The 20,273-nt window shown below is 56.7% G+C and overlaps 1 protein-coding gene across 6 annotated transcripts, besides 1 other annotated feature; it reads right to left on the bottom strand.

Moving 5' to 3' along the window:
• SERPINF2 (serpin family F member 2) lies at positions 5,120 to 17,514 on the bottom strand. Of its 6 annotated transcripts, none has more exons than XM_047436303.1 (11): positions 17,477 to 17,514; positions 17,309 to 17,386; positions 15,327 to 15,393; positions 15,172 to 15,210; positions 14,990 to 15,052; positions 14,476 to 14,677; positions 13,223 to 13,366; positions 12,873 to 13,076; positions 11,645 to 11,787; positions 7,595 to 7,799; positions 5,120 to 6,263 (listed from the first exon to the last, which is right to left on the bottom strand). In XM_047436303.1, the coding sequence occupies exons 2-11, from the start codon at positions 17,314 to 17,316 to the stop codon at positions 5,851 to 5,853; spliced, it is 1,488 nt and encodes a 495-aa protein (XP_047292259.1). In that variant the 5' UTR covers positions 17,317 to 17,386; positions 17,477 to 17,514; the 3' UTR covers positions 5,120 to 5,850. The 6 variants fall into 6 exon arrangements, with proteins under 6 accessions (XP_047292259.1, XP_016880254.1, NP_000925.2 ...); XM_017024765.2 differs by having other exon boundaries at positions 17,309 to 17,367; NM_000934.4 differs by lacking the exon at positions 17,309 to 17,386.
• Positions 7,555 to 8,115: an enhancer, noted in NCBI's record as "H3K4me1 hESC enhancer chr17:1655564-1656124 (GRCh37/hg19 assembly coordinates)". NCBI's record gives its function as "activates a minimal SCP1, AML or CMV promoter by ChIP-STARR-seq in primed H9 embryonic stem cells {active_cell/tissue: H9 hESC(primed)}" and the evidence as "EXISTENCE:reporter gene assay evidence [ECO:0000049][PMID:30033119]".

The following is a 20,273-nucleotide window of genomic DNA, read 5'->3' as shown; positions in this document are numbered from 1 at the left end:
ATGGTGAAACCCTGTCTCTACTAAAAAAAATAAAAATAATAAAATATTTACAGTTTTGTCTATTGTATATGTGTTTGTATTAGCTTTTGTTTTGTTTTTTTGTTTGTTTTGTTTTGTTTTGTTTGAGATGGAACCTTGCTCTGTGGCCCAGGCTGGAGTACAGTGGCACAATCTCGGCTCACTGCAACCTCTGCCTCCCAGGTTCAAGCGATTCTCCTGCCTCAGCCTCCTGAGTAGCTGGGATTACAGGAGCACGCCACCACGCCCGGCTAATTTTTGTTTTTGTTTTTGTTTTTGTGTTTTGGTACAGACAGGGTTTCACCATATTGGCCAGGCTGGTCTTGAACTCCTGACCTTAGGTGATCACCTGCCTCGGCCTCCCAAAGTGCTGGGATTACAGGAGTGAGCCACCATACCTGGCCTGTATTTGCTTTTTAAAGCAGAATACTATTTCCAAAAGGATACAAAAAAGAGATGAAAAACACTGCATCCCAAGAGTAGAATCCAGTGACTGGAAATCAGAATGAGAGGAAGGCTTTTCACTGGGTGCTTTTTGTTGCTTTTGAGTTGTGAACCACGTGAACAAAATACCTATTCACAAATAAGCAAATCATTTAAATAAGTCCTTAGTAAAGTTTCTGGGCCAGGTGTGGTGACTCATGGCTATAATCCCAGCACACTTGAGCCCAGGAGTTGGAGACCAGCCTGGGTGACGTGGTGAAAAATGCTTGCCTCTATAAAAAATAATAATAAATAAAAATCTTAAAATCATAAATTATACAGAAGAGTTCTCTTTTGTCCGACCCCTGTTAGAAGAATGTGTCCTCTCCTGCAGGGTCAGCGTGTCCGGCCCTCAAAGATCCTTCCCCACCTTCTTTTTTTTTTGAGACGGAGTCTCACTCTGTCCCCCAGGCTGGAGTACAGAGGTACCATCTCGGCTCACTGCCACCTCCACCTCCAGGATTCCAGTGATTCTCCTGCCTCAGCCTCCTGACTGGCTGGGATTACAGGCACGTGCCACCACTCCCGGCTAATTTTTGTAGTTTTAGTAGAGATGGGGTTTCACCATGTTGGCTAGGCTGGTCTCAAACTCCTGACCTCAAGTGATCTGCCCACCTCTGCCTCCCAAAGTGCTGGGATTACAGGCACGAGCCACCGTGCCCAGCTAATTTTTTGTATTTTTAGTAGAGACGGGGTTTCATCGTGTTAGCCAGGCTGGTCTCGAACTCCTGACCTCAAGTGATCTGCCTGCCTCGGCCTCCCAAAGTGCTGGGACTACAGGCGTGAGCCACCGTGCCCGGCCCCCGACTTCTTTAAAAGACACTTCCTTGACGCTACATCCCCTAAAGCCACTGCCCATTTCTCGGTGCTCGCTCAGAGCCGCTCTGGAAGGAGCAGTTTCCTCTTTTGTCTACGCTGCCTCGGCTCCCATTTCAATTCTAGACTTGTGTCTGTGGCCACTTCTCCACTGAAATTCCTGTCACCAAGTTCATGGGTGACCTTATGTCAACTGGCAGTGGACACCTCCGTCCTTGGCAGGAGGCAGTAGACAGTTCCTCCTCCTTGAAACCCTCACTGTCCACACTCTTCCCTTTTTCTGCCACCTCACACACCTTACCTTTTCTGCCTTCTCTGCTGGCTTGATCCTGAGACCCCTTTTCTTCTACATCTCCCCTTAGGCAATTTCCATCAATTCCATGACTTTTTTTTGTTTATTTTTGAGACGGAGTCTCGCTCATGTCGCCCAGGCTGGAGTGCAGTGGCGCGATCTTGGCTCACTACAACCTCTGCCTCCCAGGTTCAATCAATTCTCCTGTCTCAGCCTCCCTGAGTAGCTGGGACTACAGGCAGGCACCACCACACCTGCCTAATTTTTGTATTTTTAGTAGAGACGGGGTTTCACCGTGTTGGCCCGGATGGTCTCGATCTCCTGACCTTATGATCCGCCTGCCTCGGCCTCCCAAAGTGCTGGGATTATAGGCATGAGCCACCGTGCCCGGCCCAGTTCCATGACATGAAGCACATCTGCATACCCCCAAATAGACAATTCTATCCCTGATCAAATATTCAATTGCCTGCTTGACATTAAAGATGAATAGATGCCAAGCACAGTGGCTCATGCCTATAATCCCAACATTTGGGAGGCCAAGGCAGGAAGGTTGCTTGAGCCCAGGATGTCAAGGCTGCCGCGAACTGTGATCGCACCACGGCACTCCATCCAGCCTGGGCGACAGAGCAAGACCGTGTCTCTTGGCTGGGCGCGGTGGCTCATGCCTGTAATCCCAGCACTTTGGGAGGCCGAGGTGGGCGGATCACGAGGTCAGGAGATCGAGACCATCCTGGCTAACACGGTGAAACCCCGTCTCCACTAAAAATACAAAAAAATAGCCGGGCGAGGTGGCGGGCACCTGTAGTCCCAGCTGCTAGGGAGGCTGAGGCAGGAGAATGGCATGAACCCCGGGGGGCAGAGCCTGCAGTGAGCCGAGATCGCACCACTGCACTCCAGCCTGGGCGACAGCAAGACTCCGTCTCAAAAATAAAAAAAAATAAAAATAATAAAGACATTGTCTCTTAAAAAACAACAAAAAACAAAACAAAAAAGAAAACCCGCTATGTTAGGGGAAGTCAGAAGAGTTCTGTTTCTTGAGCTGAACCACTATGTTACTGGCAGTCAGGAGGAGGGAGAAGGGTTCGTCTCTTGAGCTGGTGATGGTTGCACAGCGGTATTTGGTTCATGGAAACATTCATTAAGCTTACATATAGTTAAGACTTGTGTACTTTGCATATTATATTTCAACTACAAATTGTAAAGGAAAACACACTTCAGCAGCTTCCCTTCATACTTGGAATAAAATCCAAACCCTTGCTCTGGTCTGCAAGGACCCTCGTGATCTGGCCCCGCCTGTGTCTCCAGCTCCATCTTCCTGGTTTTCTCTGACTTTGTCACACTCTGGTCACACTGGCCATCTTTCTGCTTCTCCAGTGATCCAAGCCCTTTCCTGCCCCAAAGGCCTTTGCCCGGGCTGCTGCCTCTTCCCCTGTTTCTGAACGGTCAGGTCTTCATACCGTCTATCTCTCAGCTAAATGTCCCCTGGGAAAGGCCACCCTGAGTTACTCAGTATCCCAAAAGCTCTCCAATTTCCTTCATAGTACGTCTCCTTCTGTTTTCTGTATCTGGTCCTTTTTTTTATTTTTATTCTTTTTTTTGAGGCAGAGTCTTGCTCTGTCGCCCAGGCTGGAGTGCAGTGGCGTGATCTCGGTTCACTGCAACCTCTGCCTCCTGGGGTCAAGCAATTATCCTGCCTCAGCCTCCTGAGTAGCTGAGACTACAGGCGCCCGCCACTGCACCCAGCTAATTTTTGTATTTTTCAGTAGAGACGGGGTTTCACCATTTTGGCCAGGCTGGTCTTGAACTCCTGACCTCATGATCCACCCACCTCGGCCTCCCAAAGTGCTGGGATTACAGGCGTGAGCCACCGCGCCCGGCCTGGTCCTTTTTTTTTTCTTCAGGCGGAGTCTTGCTCTGTCGCCCAGGCTGGAGTGCAGCGTCTACCTGTTCGTTGCTGCATCCCCAGGGCTTGGTATTCTGCTGGGTTCATGGGAGGTGCTGAAGAGGTACCTGCTGGGTGGAGGTTACAGTGAAGGCAGCCAGACCAGAGACAGGGAGAGCCTAGCAGGCAATGTCAGGGATCCCAGGAAGTGAAGACGAGGCCCAGACTGGGGCACTGGGAGCTGCAGTGGAGAGGAGGGGAACGCTGAGAAAGACTTGACAAGTGCTGCAGGGCATAGTGGCTCACACCACTCTGGGAGGCCGAGGCGGGCGGATCACCTGAGGTCAGGAGTTCGAGACCAGCCTGACCAACATGGCAAAACCCGGTCTCTACTAAAATACAAAAATTAGCAGTGCGTGGTGGCGCATGCCTGTAATCCCAGCTACTCGGGAGGCTGAGGCAGGAGAATTGCTTGGACCCGGGAGGCAGAGGTTGCAGTGAGCCGAGGTCGCACCGCTGCACTCCAGCCTGGGCTACAGAGCGAGACTCTTTCAAAAAAATAAAAAGGACACACTTGACAAGACAAAAAACACTGTGTTTATCGTGTCCCTAGAGCCTAAAGGATCTGTCCTGAGCTCCTCTCTGACTCCTACTCCTCCTCCCACTCACTCTCTCCACTCCAGCCCCACCGTCCCCTACTTGTCTTGAGCTCCTCGGCAGGACCTCTGCACATGCCGTTCCTCGGCCAGGCCACGCTTCGCCGGGACCTCCATAGTGCCCTCCTTCTTCCCCTTCAAGGCCGTGCTCTCGTGTCACCTTCTCACAAGGCTTTTCCTCCCAGCCCCGCCCCCTCCCCCACTTCACTTTCACCATTGCTCTCCGGCAGCTCATCCTCGGACAGACCATGTATTTCCCTTTGTTGATTTACTATCTCTCTCTCCACACGGCTCGTTTGCAAGAAGCAAGACTCCATGCCAGGCCTCTCTGACTTCCAGGGGCTTGCTCTTAACCGCTGCACATTAGGGCTCCAGGTGGCCGCTGCCACGTGGACCCCCTGCACCTCCAGCAGGGAAGCGTGCCCACCCACATGGTCACCCACGCTGCCCCAGCTCCTGGGCTCTGGCACAGAGGAAGGTGTCAGCCCTGTGCCAAGGTTTCCCCACCTGCTTCCCCCAAATCCTCAGGCACTGACTGTCTCCAGCTGGAGCTGGGTACTCCCGGCAGCCTGCCCCCGGCTGGCGGGCACCAGCTCCTGGCAGAGGGGCTGGTGTGTAATTAGAAGCTCCACAAACTCCCTAATTGCCAGTTCTTCTCCCAAACCAGGAGGCTGGCGCTGTTCTGAGCCGCCCTGTTGCCGGCTGCCTGAGGCATAGAGAGAAGAAGAAGCCAGGAGCAGAGCCAGGCTGGCGTGGAGGTGTCCCGGGGGAGGGCTGGCGAGGTCAGAGGGGACCACGGGGTGGAGGATGCCTGGCGAGCGGCCAGAGGCCAAACGTGGCACTGCGCGGGCTGCCACCCCTGCTGGGCCCAGGGTTCCTCAGCACAGTCCACCCTGCGGCCGCCTCCCTGCCTTCCCCACCATCCTCACTTGTCCCCACCCATGCCCAGAACGGTGACATCAAACCAGCCAGGCCCATTCATTCTTTATTCAGGTGGCATAAAAATCACTACAAAAACCTTACAAAAGAGCCTTAAGGAGCTCATGGGATCCTTCCCTGCCTCGGTTCCTGAGCTCCCGGGCAGAGGAGGGAGACAGGAGAGGAAGGAAGGGAAATGCTGGCAGTGTTGGGATCTCGAGGAGCCGTGGGAAGTCTGGCGTGACAAGGCACAGGGGGTAGGATGGAGGCTGATGGACTCTCGGCAGGTTAGGCCACAGCCAGGCTGTGCCAGACACGAGTTCCACGCGGGGCTGAGGACAACGCTTCGCCTCCCGAGCCACCACCAGGGCCCGTCTCTCCCCACCCTAGCCTAGGTGTCCCGGGACAAGTCCAAAGGCAGCCCTCTCCCCCTCCCTTTTTCTCTGGTAAACAAAAGTCGGGGTGTCCCAGCTGACGTGGGGAGCAGCTAACCTGTCTCCTGGCAGAACTAGAAGCACCTCCCTCCTGCCCAGGCCCCGGTGCAGGACACCCTCTGAGCCTGTTTGGAAGAAAGATGAGGGTCAGGCTCCCGGCTCCCCGATGCCTGCCCTCCTCCCAGCCGCGCCCCCCCCCCACCCTAAACTCCCCAAGAGGTGTTGGGAAAGAATGGCCTCTCTCAGACTGCCCCCGGCCCCTGCCCCAGTGCCACAAAGCCGGTTGGAAAGAGTCACATGAGTGGAGAGGCTGGTCCAGGCAGGGACTCTGGATGCCACAGCCACGGCCCCTCACTTGGGGCTGCCAAACTGGGGGTAATCCTCCTCCATGGGGGGCACAAGTTTTAAGTCAGGGCCGAAAAGCTTGTCTCCGCGGGGGAAGCCTTTCAGGCTCTGGAGGAAGTCCTTGTTGCCCGGGGAATCCTGCTGTTCCTTGAGCTCCCGCGGTGCACTGGGGTTGGGGTTCCTCACGCTGCCCACGAAGAGGGGAAGGCCTGTGGTGTCCTCGAAGATGAAGAAGAGGAAGGGGCGGTTCACGCTGAAGGAGGACAGGGACATGCGGGACATGGCAATGCTGGTGGCCGCCGCCGCCTCCACGCCGACCTCGCTGAGCTCCAGGGTGGACTGATGCTGCACGCCGGACACCACCAGGCTCTGCTCGGAGATCCCACGCAGGTCTGGGGCCTGGAACAACTCCTGCAGGCCTGCCCAGGGCCAGAGATGGCTGGTCAGAGCTGCCCTTGGCCTCACAGGCTCCTGGAGCTGCTTGGGAGGGTGTCTGAGATCCTGGCCAGGGAACAGCTTGAACTCACAGATACCTGCTTCATTCCTATCCGGTTTCCAAGACTCAGCTTAAACACCACCTCCTCCAGGAAGCCTTCCCTGATCCCCAGCTCTAAAGTCCAACCAAGGTACATTTTCAGTGTTCTCCCAGGTGAGCTGGAGAGAAGCCCTCTCTGTCTTATCGCTTATGCTGTAGTAAGTATGTGATTGCTCGTCTGCCCACCCCATTAGACTCAGCTGTTTGTACATGGTGGGCTCCCGGTACCTGGTACAGTGCCTGGAATACAGCAGCTGCTTAGCAAATGGCTGAAGGATAGATGCTTTATTTATTTATTTTAGTTATTATAATTTTTTTTTGAGATGGAGTCTCACTCTGTCATCCAGGCTGGAGTACAGTGGCGTGATCTCGGCTCACTGCAACCTCCTCCTCCCAGGTTCAAGCAATTCTCCTGCCTCAGCCTCCCAAGTAGCTGGGATTATGGGCATGCGCCACCACGCCCGGCTAATTTTTGTATTTTTAGTGGAGACGGGTTTGGCCATGTTGGCCAGGCTGGTCTCAAACTCATGACCTCAGGTGATCCACCCTCTTTGGCCTCCCAAAGTGCTAGGATTACAGACGTGAGCCACCATGCCCGGCCTTTATTTTTATTTTTGAGACAAGGTCTTAGTTCTTTTGCTGAGGCTGGAGTGCAGTGGCACAATTATGGCTCACTGCAGCCTCAGCCACCTGGGGTCAAGAGGGCCTCCCACCTCAACCTCCCCAGTAGCATGCACCACACCTGGCTAATTTTTGTATTTTTTGTAGGGACGGAGTTTCAATGTGTTGCACAGGCTGGTGTCGGACTCCCGGGCTCAAGCAATCCACCCACTTCAGCTTCCCAACGTGCTGGGATTACAGGCATGAGCCACTCCACCCAGCATTTCTTTAACAGTGTGACACCCCAGCTTCTCCTCCTTCCCCTTCCAGGGAAGCCAGCGAGGCTCACATGCCATCCCAGGCTCTCTACCCAGACTCTCCTTGCAATGCGAGGTCTTGGGCAGCAAAGCAGAGCCCCATTCCCCGGGCCACCCCAACTTCCTCTAGGACAGAGGGTCTGGGGGCTCATATTCAACCCTCTCCCCGCTCCCGAAGCCCTGGAAAAGAGCAGGACACAGGACAGCTCTGACTCAGCTCCACTGCCAGCCAGACGCTTCCTCCTTACCCGCCCTGCCCAGCCTGACCTCGGGGGCTCGCCCGCACCCTCCTCCTTACCCAGCTGGCTGAGGGTGGCCACCAGGTCCATTTGGTGTTTCAGATACAGCTTAGGCAGCCGGACCTTGGTGGGCCTCTCCCACACCAGAGGTGGGTGCAGGGTGTCCCAACTCAGGTTGGCCAGTACCTGGGACACGTTCCATTCAAAGTGGGTGGGTACAAGGACCACAAAGCTCATGTTGTTCTTAAAGGGGAAATGAGCCACCTACAGAAAAGGGAAGGGAAGAGCATGAGGACAGAAAGCCCCGAAGCTAAGTGGGGGTGGGGCCAGCAGGTGCTCCTAAGGCAGACAATGGGGCTCCTGGCCATCCTGCCAGGCGTGTGACTGACCCCACTGCTCCTCCACTTCCTCACAGTGGGGTGGAGTCATACTACCTGTCCCACTGCAGGCGGACACGTAACCGAATGAGATGCTTTTAAAGTTTCTAGCAGTGTGGCCGGGCATGGGGGCTCACGCCTGTAATCCTAGCACTTTGGGAGGCCGAGGCAGGCAGATCACCTGAGGTCAGGAGTTCAAGACCAGCCTGACCAACATGGCAAAACCTCATCTCTACTAAAAATACAAAAATGAGCTGGGCTTCTGTGGTGACGGGCGCTTGTAATCGCAGCAACTCGGGAGGCTGAGGCAGGAGAATTGCTTGAACCCGGGAGGCAGAGGTTGCCATGAGCCAAGATCAAGCCACTGCACTCCAGCCTGGGGGACAGGAGTAAAAATCCGTCTCAAAAAAAGAAAAAAAACAACATTGTAGCAGTGTCCGCTGTCACAGACGGTGCTCAATAATACCTGGTGGTTTTCTCTCTTCACCGGCTACCAGCTGGCCGTGTGACCCGGCGTAAGGAATCGCCTGTCTTTGTCTCAGCTTCTCCAGATGTACCACAGACAGGGTCACTGGCTGTCATACCACAGCTGGGTTCTGTGGGTGAGCCACTGCCGAGTGCTGCCCGCCCCACCCTCCCACACCTCCCTCTTGTGACTTTGCCAGCTGTGTAAATATATTGTGATTTGGCTTAAGATTTCTTTTTTTTTCTTTTCTTTTGAGTTGGAGTCTCGCACTGTCGCCCAGGCTGGAGTGCAGTGGCGCAATCTCGGCTCACCGCAACCTCCGCCTCGTGGATTCACGCCATTCTTCTGCCTCAGCCTCCCGAGTAGCTGGGATTACAGGTGCCCGCCACTACGCCCGGCTAATTTTTTGTATTTTTAGAAGAGATGGGGTTTCACCGTGTTAGCCAGGATGGTCTCAATCTCCTGACCTCGTGATCCACCTGCCTTGGCCTCCCAAAGTGCTGGGATTACAGGCATGAGCCTGTAAACCACACCCAGCCTCTTTTTTTTTTTTTTTCAAGACAGAGTTTCACTCTTATTGTCCAGGCTGGAGTGCAGTGGCATGATCTTGGCTCACTGCAACCTCTGCCACCCGGGTTCAAGTGATTCTCCTGCCTCAGCCTCCCGAGTAGCTGGGACTACAGGCGCTCACCATCTCACCTGGCCAATTGATGTATTTTTAGTAGAGACGGGGTTTCACCATGTGGGCCAGGCTGGTCTCAAACTCCAGACCTCAGGTGATCCACCTGCCTCAGCCTCCCACAGTGCTGGGATTACAGGCGTGAGCCACCGTGCCCAGCCATTAAGATTTGATTTGAAGGGATTCTGCAGCAAAAGCAGTGTGGACACCACAGGGCTCGAGGGCCTCCTGCAGCTGTGACTCCTTGGGTTCCAGGCAGAGTACCCGTGTGGAGAACCCCTGCCCGTGGGAGGATAAGCCCCGGGTTCTGGCTGTTTGGGCCTGTCTGCAGAGGGCCTGAGGACAAGAAAGGCTGACGGGGCCTAAGGAAAGGAGACGAAGGATGAAGGAAGAGTACGCAGGACACAGCCTGGAGGAAAGGGGAAGCAGGAAAGGGGAGCCTCGGGGAGGTGGATCAGACTGGCCTTTCAGAATGAGCTGCAGGGAAGCCAGGACGCGTTCCCGGGCCAGCCTCACCCACAGCCCCCTCCCAGGAGGGCTGCCCAAGTGGCTTCTGGCTCCTCCCTGCAGAAGTGGCTGTGCTCTGTGTCACACTTGCCTTGGGAAGCTAACAAATACAGCCATCTCAGCCACAGCTGTCTGGCCCGGGGATCAATACCCAGGCCAAGGGGACCACATTTAGGCTAGAAGCAAGAGAGGCCACACCTGAGACAGCCTGGCACGGAATTTTATCCAATCAGAGCTGGGCGCAGTGGCTCCTGCCTATAATCCCAGCACTTTGGGAGGCCAAGGCGGGCGGATCACTTGAGGTCAGGAGTTTGAGATCAGCCTGGCCAACATGGTGAAACCTGTCTCTACTAAAAAAAAAAAATACAAAAATTGGCCGGGCACGGTGGCTCACACCTGTAATCCCAGCACGTTGGGAGGCTGAGGCAGGCGGATCACGAGGTCAGGAGATTGAGACCATCCTGGCCAATATGGTGAAACCCCGTCTCTACTAAAAATACAAAAATTAGCTGGGCATGGTGGCGGGCGCCTGTAGTCCAAGCTACTCGGGAGGCTGAGGCAGGAGAATCCCTTGAACCCGGGAGGTAGAGATTGCAGTGAACCGAGATTGCACCACTGCACTCCAGTCTGGGCGATAGAGAGAAACTCCGTCTCAAAAACAAACAAACAAACGAACAAAATTAGCCAGGCGTGGTGGTGCATGCCTGTAGTTCCAGCTACTCGAGAGGTTGAGGCAGGAGAGTGGCTTGAACCCAGGAGGCAGAGGCTGCAGTGAGCCGAGATCGTGCCACTGCACTCCAGCCTGGGTGACAGAGCAAGACTCTGTCTCAAAAAAAAAAAAAAGAAGTTTATCCAATCAGAATGTTCCACGCAAGATGCTGAGAAATCCAATCCAATCAGATCCTCCTTTCTAAGGAGCACTGTGTGAGCGCCCCGTGGAATCTCCCAGGCTGGGGGCTGCAGAGACCCTGAGTGGCTACATGGCCGTGGGGTGGTCCCTGTGCTGCCCCAAAGTCCATGGGCCCTTGTAATAAACCCTTATCAACAACGGTCACCTGAGTCTCAATTCAATGCCCCCTCCTCACAGAATTCTCCCTTACCACTCTAAAATGCCTAAATAAGGCCAGGCCTGGTGGCTCATGCCCGTAATCCCAGCACTTAGGGAGGCCGAGGTGGGCAGATGACCTGAGGTCAGGAGTTCAAGGCCAGCCTTTGTTTTTTCTGAGTCGGAGTCTCAATCTGTCTCCCAGGCTGGAGTGCAGTGGTGCGATCTCAGCCCACTGCAGCCTCCGTCTCCCGGGTTCAAGTGATTCTCCTGCCTCAGCCTCCAGAGTATCTGGGATTACAGGCGCCCGCCACCATGGCTGGCTAATTTTTGTATTTTTAGTAGAGACGGGGCTTTGCTATGTTGGTCAGGCTGGTCTCGAACTCCTGACCTCAAAATCACAGCTCACTGCAACCTTTCCCTCCTGGGTTCAAGTGATTCTCCTGCCTCAGCCTCTGGAGTAGCTGGGATTACAGGCACCTGCCACCACGCCTGGCTAATTTTTGTATTTTTAGTAGAAACGGGGTTTCAAATCTTGGCCAGGCTGGTCTCAAACTCCTGACCTTATGATCCACCTGCCTGGGCCACCCAAAGTGCTGGGATTACAGGCGTGAGCCACCGCTCCCGGCCAAAATCACCTTCTTTTTCAGCTTTCCCTCCACAGCGCTTCCCAGCGTCTGGAATTCCTGTGTTGATGTCCATTCACTGTTGCACTGTGTATCCTCCTTCCTAAGAGCAGAGACCTGGCCTCCCTCATGCTCCACAAAAACCCTAGTGCTTAGAACAGTATCTGGAACACAGCAAATGCCCAGTATATTTTCACTGAATTACTAAACCTCAAAGAGCCTGGAGCCTCAGTCCTCCTGCCAGGTAGGATGGGGGATCATGGGACCTTTTGCAGTTGCCTGCCTAGGGGACGTGGAGGCAAGGAAGGCGAGACAGCCTCCACCCATCCCTGTGCCTGCTCCACAGCCTGTCCACTCCCTTCCCCACCTCCCAGCCTCAGGCCCAGCCTGCTGGACAACCAAGGGTGACCTGGATCTCAGGCTGCTCCAGCAAGAACCAGCGCAGCGGGTACGTGCGGGCCTGCATCATTTCCACGGGCACCGTGAACTGCTCGTCCAGGTGGAAGGAGTCTCTCTGGGTAAGGCTCGGGTCAAACTTGTTCCTCCAGAAACCTGAAACCCAGCAGAGGGCAGGGGTCACGTCGACGGGGACCAGCTTGGGGCAGAGGGCAGGGGTCACGTCGATGGGGACCAGCTTGGGCTCTGCACCCCCAGCCCGTTGCCTGTCCCACCCAGAATCCATTCAAGGATGAGACAGCGGTGGAGGCCAAGACCCCAGGGAATGCTAGCTGGCATCCAATTGATCTAAGGTCTCTTTCCCGTAGCATTTTTGAAATCTGGGCTTGTGTTTTCCCCAACCCCTGCAATTCTCCTAGGAACCTCCTCCTGGATCTTTTTTTTTTTTTTTAGACGGAGTCTCGCTCTGTCGCCCAGGCTGGAGTGCAGTGGCACGACCTCCGCTCACTGCAAGCTCCACCGCCTCCCGGGCTCACGCCATTCTCCTGCCTCAGCCTCCCGAGTAGCTGGGACTACAGGTGCCCGCCACTACGCCCAGCTAATTTTTTTGTATTTTTAGCAGAGACGGGGGTTTCACCGTGTTAGCCAGGATGGTCTCCATCTCCTGACCTCATGATCTGCCCGCCTCGGCCTCCCAAAGTGTTGGGATTACAGGCGTGAGCCACCGCGCCCAGCCCCTCCTGGATCTTTTCAGACCATTTGTTCCCAGGGTATTCACTCTAGAACAACTCATCTGGCTCCTGGGCACCCATCCCCACCACACCCAGACAGCCTCCTGCCTCATGGCCCAGACTGAGGAAGAAAGGAGACCCTCAGAACAAAGCCTGCATGGCCGGGCGCGGTGGCTCACGCCTGTAATCCCAGCACTTTGGGAGGCCGAGGTGGGTGGATCACCTGAGGTCAGGAGTTCAAGGCCAGCCTGGCCAACATGGTGAAACCCTGTCTCTACTAAAATACAAAAATTAGCTGGGTGTGGTGGCAGATGCCTGTAATCCCAGCTACTGGGGAGGCTGAGCCAGGAGAATCGCTTCAATCCGGGAGGCGGAGGTTGCAGGGAGCCGAGATCGCGCCACTGCGCTCCACCCTGGGTGACAGAGCGAGACTTGTCTCAAAAAACAAAAAGGCCTGCACGTCCCAGCTCAGCCTACAGGGTGGGGGATCTGAGAGGAGGAGGAGCGCACCCTGGAAGTGGATGGCGTTGAGGAGAAGCAACACGGTGTCTTCCGGCAGCCCAGAGAGGAATTCCTGAATCTTCCCCTCCGTGGCCTCCTTCACCCATTGGTTGATGTTTGCCAGGTCATCTTCCTGCTTTCCCGTCAGGCTCACGGGCTTTGCCCCAAATAGCTGTTCGGATTGTTCCAGGAAATCTTCTTTGATGGGAAATCCTGCACGGAGGCAGCACAAGCTGTTCCCAGGGCTCCAGGCTCCACAGCCAGACACGCCCCTACTCGCTACCAGAGGCCCAGCCCCTTGCTCTCACCCTCCTCCACCCAGGGCAGGACTGAGGGAGCTCCCTGCCATCAGCGCCTACCTTTCTGCAGGTACATCCTGGCAGCCAGTCGGAACGCGCCGGGGCCCAGGTCCTGGCAGAGGCGGCTCAGCAGATGGGGGAGGCAGGGCCCTGAGCCTGCGTGCAGCACCTGTTGCAGCCTCTGCAACGTGTGGTTCTGAGCACCTGGAGGGCACCGCACAGGCTGAGGCCCGGCTGCGGGTCCTTTCTCACCCCCACTGCCCACTCCAGTCCCTCCTGGATACCCGTGACGAGGACGTCCACGGGACCACACGCCATCCTTCCACAGCCACGGATCTGTTCTGCGTGGCTCTCACCCCTGTGGCTGACAGGCTGGGTGACCTCACCCCCCACAAGTTACCTTCCCTCTCTGGGCTTCCGTTTCCCACAGTGAGACCCTCCAGCACAGTGGGAAAGAGTGTAGCTAGCAAACTCTTGCATAAGAATCACCAGGAGGGGCCGGGCGCGGTGGCTCACGCCTGTAATCCCAGCACTTTGGGAGGCTGAGGCAGGTTGATCACCTTAGGTCGAGAGTTCGAGACCACCCTGGCCAACATGGTGAAACCCCGTCTCTACTAAAAATACAAAAATCAGCTGTGCATGGTGGCTGGTGCCTGTGATCCCAGCTATTTGGGAGGCTGAGGCAGGAGAATTGCTTGAACCTGGGAGACAGAGGTTGCAGTGAGCTGAGATCACACCACTGCACTCTAGCCTGGGTGACAGAGCAAGACTCTGTCTCAAAAAAAAAAAAAAAATCACCAGGAGGACTTGTAAATAAGCAGATTCCCCGGCCCAGTCCCTGAGATCTGATTCACATAGACAGATGGGTGGGGGCCCAGGAATCTGCATTTGTTGTTGTTGTTGTTTGAGACGGAATCTTGCTCTGTCACCCAGGCTGGAGTGCAGTGGCGCCATCTCGGCTCACTGTAACCTCCAACTCCCAGGTTCAAACAGTTCTCTGCCTCAGCCTCCTGAGTAGCTGGAATTACAGGTGCGCACCACCACGCACAGCTAAATTTTTTGTATTTTTAGTAGAGAGAGTTTCACCATGTTGGCCAGGCTGGTCTTGAACTCCTGACCTCGTGATCCACCCGCCTCAGCCTCCCAAAGTGTTGGGATTACAGGCGTGAGCCACCGCCCCGGCCTAGGAATCTGCATTTTTACCAAACAGCCACGTGACCCTGGTGGAGGAACCGCCCGCGGAGAACCATTGGAGTACTGAGTTCCTACTGGCCTCCCAGCTCTCTTGGTCTGGACAAGTGGTGCCAGGGTACCTAGTGCCAGGTGAGACAGCGCCAGGGCCACACTCAGGGGTGACAGGATGAGGTTGGGGCAGGTGGACGTTTGAGCCACCAGGGAGAACAGGTCGGCAGTGAAGGCCATCATGGCCCGGGCCAGCCTGTGGGTCTGCTCTGGGGTGGGGTCTCTGCTGCAGACTCCTGGGGGACTCTTCAGGGCAGTCTGGCCACCAGGCTCCTGCAGGGACAGATCAGGGGTCAGGGAGGTCAAGGGGTCAGCTCCAGGTTCTGTGTTGAAGGCCTTGTCACAGCCCCTGTGCCTGAGGACAGCAGGGCCTTGTCCCAGCCCCAGGGAAGAGGGAGCGTCAGACGGAGGGCACTGGCATTCTGGGGCCTGGCGCCCACCTTCGGTCCTCCCCACCCTCTCTCCCTTCTGGCCTCTGGACTCCAGAGCCTCAGCCTCAGCACGCGCCCCCACCCCCCGACCCCTGCCGATGGGCCCTCCTCCCTCTAGCCCCGCCCACTCTTCCCCAGCCCCACCTGGTTGTACCTGGTTGCCCAACTTGAGGAGGGTAAGTGGGGACACCTGCTCCTGGTTCGGCCCGCTAGTTAGCTGCGGAAAGGAGCAAGCAGATGGAGACCGACCCTTCCCACAGGCCCCCCACCCTGCCCAAGCCACCAGTGAGACCCCCGGGACCTTCCCCCCATCACAGGCTCCTCACTCCCCAGTACCTGCCGGCCCAAGGGCTCCATGGCGCTCACAGGGGAGAACTGTGGAGAAAGGGATGAGGATAGGAGGTCCCCTCGGAGCCAAGCCCTCCCTCCATGCCAACGCCCCTCTTCTTCCCCCTCCACCCCACCCCACCTTGACTTCAGCCCAGCCTCACCACGGAGCAGGGGCCTTGCAGGCAGGACCAGCTGAGCACCAGGAGCCCCCAGAGCAGCGCCATGTTCCTGTGGCAGGGACAGAAAGCTCTGTTCCCATCTCACATCCCCACGCCCGCCAGGGAATCCTACCCACGCGATCACAGATAACGCCAAGTCCTGGGTCATGATTGCCAAGGGGAAGAAGCAGGCTCCAGAATCAGAACAGACCCCAAACACACGAGCAGCGGCTCCCACTCCTGCAGCTGGGACATCCGCCCTGGCTTCTCCCCCTTTTTAGTTTCTGGTGTTTCATATTTCATGCATTTCATGCACTGAGGGTGTTTTGGTGAATAGGAGGGAGATACCAAATCAAAAACGTTCTCATTCTACAAGGCCCTGCGCTGTGAATCAGATCTGTGTCTGAATCCAGGCTACCTCTTGCCAAAGGACCTCGGCATTTCCCGTAACTCCACCAGGCTTGGCCTTACCTTGTAAAACGGTGGCACAAGTCCCTCACTCTTCTCACATGCATGGTGAGGACCAAAATAAGACCGTCTTTTTGGGATTTTTTGTTGTTTATTTTTTGAGACGGAGTTTCGCTCTCGTTGACCAGGCTGGAGTGCAGTGGCAGGATCTCGGCTCACCGCAACCTCCACCTCCCAGGTTCAAGCGATTCTCCTGCTTCAGCCTCCCGAATAGCTGGGATTACAGGCATGCACCACCACGCCTGGCTAATTCTGTATTTCTTAGTAGAAACGGGGTTTCTCTGTGTTAGTCAGGCTGGTCTTAAACTCCCGACCTCAGGTGATCCTCCTGCCTCGGCCTCCCAAAGTACTGGGATTACAGGCATGAGCCACTGCACCCGGCAAAAGACCATCTTTGTGGCCAGGCACGGTGGCTCAAGCCTGTAATCCCAGCACTTTGGGAGGCCAGGGGCAGGTGGATCACCTGAGGTCGGGAGTTCAAGACCAGCCTGGCCAACATGGTAAAACCCCATCTCTACTGAAAATACAAAATTAGCCAGGCGTGGTGGTGGGCCCCTGTAATCCCAGCTACTCGGGAGGCTGAGGCAGAGAACTGCTTGAACCCGGGAGGCGGAGGTTGCAGTGAGCCGAGATCACGCCACTGCACTCCAGCCTGGGCGACAGAGCAAGACTCTGTCTCAAAAAAATAAATAAGACCATCTTTGTAAACCCTGAGTACAATGCTTGGCACTCCCCCGATGGCTGGGGTCAGCTTGGCTCAAGGCCACCTCTTCTGGGAAGCCTGCCCTGAAGCCTCCACCGCAGAGCTCCAACACAGAGCTCCTACCCAGCCTGCTGCATCCATTTAGCCTGTCTTTTTTTTTTTTTTTTTTTTTTTTGAGATGGAGTTTCATTCTTATCATGCAGGCTGGAGTGCAATGGCACGATCTCGGCTCACTGCAACCTCCACCTCCTGGGTTAAAGCGATTCTCCTGCCTCAGCCTCCCGAGTAGCTGGGATTACAGGCATGTGCCACCATGCCTGGCTAATTTTGTATTTTTAGTAGAGACAGGGTTTCTCCATGTTGGTCAGGCTGGTCTCGAACTCCTGACCTCAGGTGATCCACCTGCCTCAGCCTCCCAAAGTGCTGGGATGACAGGCATGAGCCACCACGCCTGGCCCCAACCCGTCTTTCTCAGGCTGGTCAGGTCTTGCCCACAAGGCTGGACATACCTGTGAGGCCCTGAGGTCTCACCATGGGTGGCAAGGCAGCCAGAGAGCTGCCTTTTGACCCAGCAGCAGAGCCCAGTGAATGACTCTGGCCAGAGCCACCTCTGCACTTAGGAGCATCACAGGCCTCTGCTCCAGGCTGGCTCTGGGAAGGGCAGGTGTTGGTCTCAGGAGGATAAGTCAGAGCAGGTCTCAGCTACCTCCAGCCCACCCCCATCTTGGGGCCAACCCTTCTGGAGGATCCTTTGGTCCCCCCGGCCCCACCCCCATCCCACACAAGAGCCCTTGGCCAGGGCCCCGACTCCGACCTGGGCATTAGAATCTTCTTGCCAAGAACAGGCTCCAGTTTTTCAAGTCCCAGAAGAGGCTGGGGAGTGACAGGCCTCCTGAATAAATCCCAGACCCCTCAGCCAGGGAGGCAGCTCCCTCCTCCTCTCCTACCCAAGGAGCAGGCCGAGCAGCCCCTCCCCTCATACCTCTGCGGGCTCCTTGCTGCCACACACAACGTTCCTCTGGCCCCACTTGGGTGCTCCTCACTCTCTGCCCAGGCTCCAGCTGGCCCAGCCCACCCCTCCCCTCCCACCAGGACCTTTACTCTCAGCCAACCCCTGTTCAGATTGCTTTCTCTTCTGGTAAATATTGACTTGCACATCCAGTTAAACATTGATCTTGAAGCCAGAAGCCCCTTTCCCACCAGGGCATCTAACCCTGAGGCAGCCACGCAGAACCCCCTATATTTGGGTCCCCCCCCCCGAGCCTGGAAAGAGAAAGTTCAGGAGGAGAGAGTTGAAGAGACTGGATCTGGCTAGCCAAGAGGGCGGATCCAGAAAGCACAGGAACCTAGCACTGTGTTAAGCCTTCCAGAGACCCCACGAGGTGTGGATTATCCCTGGTTCAGCCAGGCTCAGAGAGGCCATGTGACCTGCCCAAGGACACAGAGCTGGGCTGAGGCACATCCAGATTCTCACTCCCAATGTCCTTTCTTCTCCCAGAGAGCTGCCTCCCGCTCCTGAGGGGAGGAAAGGGGAAGCCACAAGAGCCTATGCAGAGAGCCCAGGATAGGAAGCCCACCCCCAACCTTCCAAGCCCAGGATCAGGTTGGCTGCCTTCAGACTGGGATGGAAGGCAGGGGGTGAGGGAGGAGAAATGAGAGGGACTCAACTTCTCCCACCGTCCTGCCACTCCAGAGCAATGTCTCTTTCCCCTACCCAAGAGCGAGGGTTCTGGAAACTGACCTGGGGCTGTATGAACCAGAAGCCTGGCAGCCCGTGCAAAGATCAGGCTGCTTCCCACCCTCACTGTCCGGCTCCTCACTCCCTGCATCAGGCTCCTTCCCACCCTCACTGTCCTGCTCCTCACTCCCTGTATCAGGCCCCTTCCCACCCTCACTGTCCTGCTCCTCACTCCCTGCATCAGGCCGCTTCCCGCCCTCACACCTGCTCCTCACTCCCTGCATCAGGCTCCTTCCCACCCTCACTGTCCGGCTCCTCACTCCCTGCATCAGGCTCCTTCCCACCCTCACTGTCCGGCTCCTCACTCCCTGCATCAGGCTCCTTCCCACCCTCACTGTCCTGCGCCTCACTCCCTGCATCGGGCCACTTCCCACCCTCACTGTCCTGCTCCTCACTCCCTGCATCAGGCCGCCTCCCACCCTCACTGTCCGGCTCCTCACTCCCTGCATCAGGCCGCCTCCCACCCTCACTGTCCTGCTCCTCACTCCCTGCATCAGGCTCCTTCCCACCCTCACTGTCCTGCGCCTCACTCCCTGCATCAGGCCACTTCCCACCCTCACTGTCCTGCTCCTCACTCCCTGCATCAGGCTCCTTCCCATCCTCACTGTCCAGCTCCTCACTCCCTGCATCAGGCTCCTTCCCACCCTCACTGTCCGGCTCCTCACTCCCTGCATCAGGCTCCTTCCCACCTTCACTGTCCTGCTCCTCACTCCCTGCATCAGGCTCCTTCCCACCCTCACTGTCCTGCGCCTCACTCCCTGCATCAGGCTCCTTCCCACCCTCACTGTCTTGCGCCTCACTCCCTGCATCAGGCCCCTTCCCACCTTCACTGTCCTGCGCCTCACTCCCTGCATCAGGCTCCTTCCCACCCTCACTGTCCGGCTCCTCACTCCCTGCATCAGGCCCCTTCCCACCCTCACTGTCCTGCGCCTCACTCCCTGCATCAGGCCCCTTCCCACCCTCACTGTCCTGCGCCTCACTCCCTGCATCAGGCTCCTTCCCACCCTCAGTGTCCGGCTCCTCACTCCCTGCATCAGGCCCCTTCCCACCCTCACTGTCCTGCGCCTCACTCCCTGCATCAGGCCCCTTCCCACCCTCACTGTCCTGCGCCTCACTCCCTGCATCAGGCTCCTTCCCACCCTCACTGTCCGGCTCCTCACTCCCTGCATCAGGCCCCTTCCCACCCTCACTGTCCTGCGCCTCACTCCCTGCATCAGGCCCCTTCCCACCCTCACTGTCCTGCGCCTCACTCCCTGCATCAGGCCACTTCCCACCCTCACTGTCCTGCGCCTCACTCCCTGCATCAGGCCACTTCCCACCCTCACTGTCCTGCGCCTCACTCCCTGCATCAGGCTCCTTCCCACCCTCACTGTCCTGCGCCTCACTCCCTGCATCAGGCTCCTTCCCACCCTCACTGTCCTGCGCCTCACTCCCTGCATCAGGCCGCCTCCCACCCTGACTGTCCTGCTCCTCACTCCCTGCATCAGGCTCCTTCCCACCCTCACTGTCCTGCGCCTCACTCCCTGCATCAGGCCGCCTCCCACCCTCACTGTCCTGCGCCTCACTCCCTGCATCAGGCTCCTTCCCACCCTCACTGTCCGGCTCCTCACTCCCTGCATCAGGCTCCTTCCCACCCTCACTGTCCGGCTCCTCACTCCCTGCATCAGGCCGCCTCCCACCCTCACTGTCCTGCTCCTCACTCCCTGCATCAGGCTCCTTCCCACCCTCACTGTCCTGCGCCTCACTCCCTGCATCAGGCCCCTTCCCACCCTCACTGTCCTGCGCCTCACTCCCTGCATCAGGCTCCTTCCCACCCTCACTGTCCGGCTCCTCACTCCCTGCATCAGGCTCCTTCCCACCCTCACTGTCCTGCGCCTCACTCCCTGCATCAGGCCACTTCCCACCCTCACTGTCCTGTGCCTCACTCCCTGCATCAGGCTCCTTCCCACCCTCACTGTCCTGCGCCTCACTCCCTGCATCAGGCTCCTTCCCACCCTCACTGTCCTGCGCCTCACTCCCTGCATCAGGCCGCCTCCCACCC

The sequence above is a fragment of the Homo sapiens genome, chromosome 17 (assembly GCF_000001405.40).
Source record: "Homo sapiens chromosome 17, GRCh38.p14 Primary Assembly".
Lineage (NCBI taxonomy): Eukaryota > Metazoa > Chordata > Mammalia > Primates > Hominidae > Homo > Homo sapiens.
Note: the sequence above shows the minus strand (reverse complement) of the source record. Positions and strands in the feature narration are given on the sequence as shown.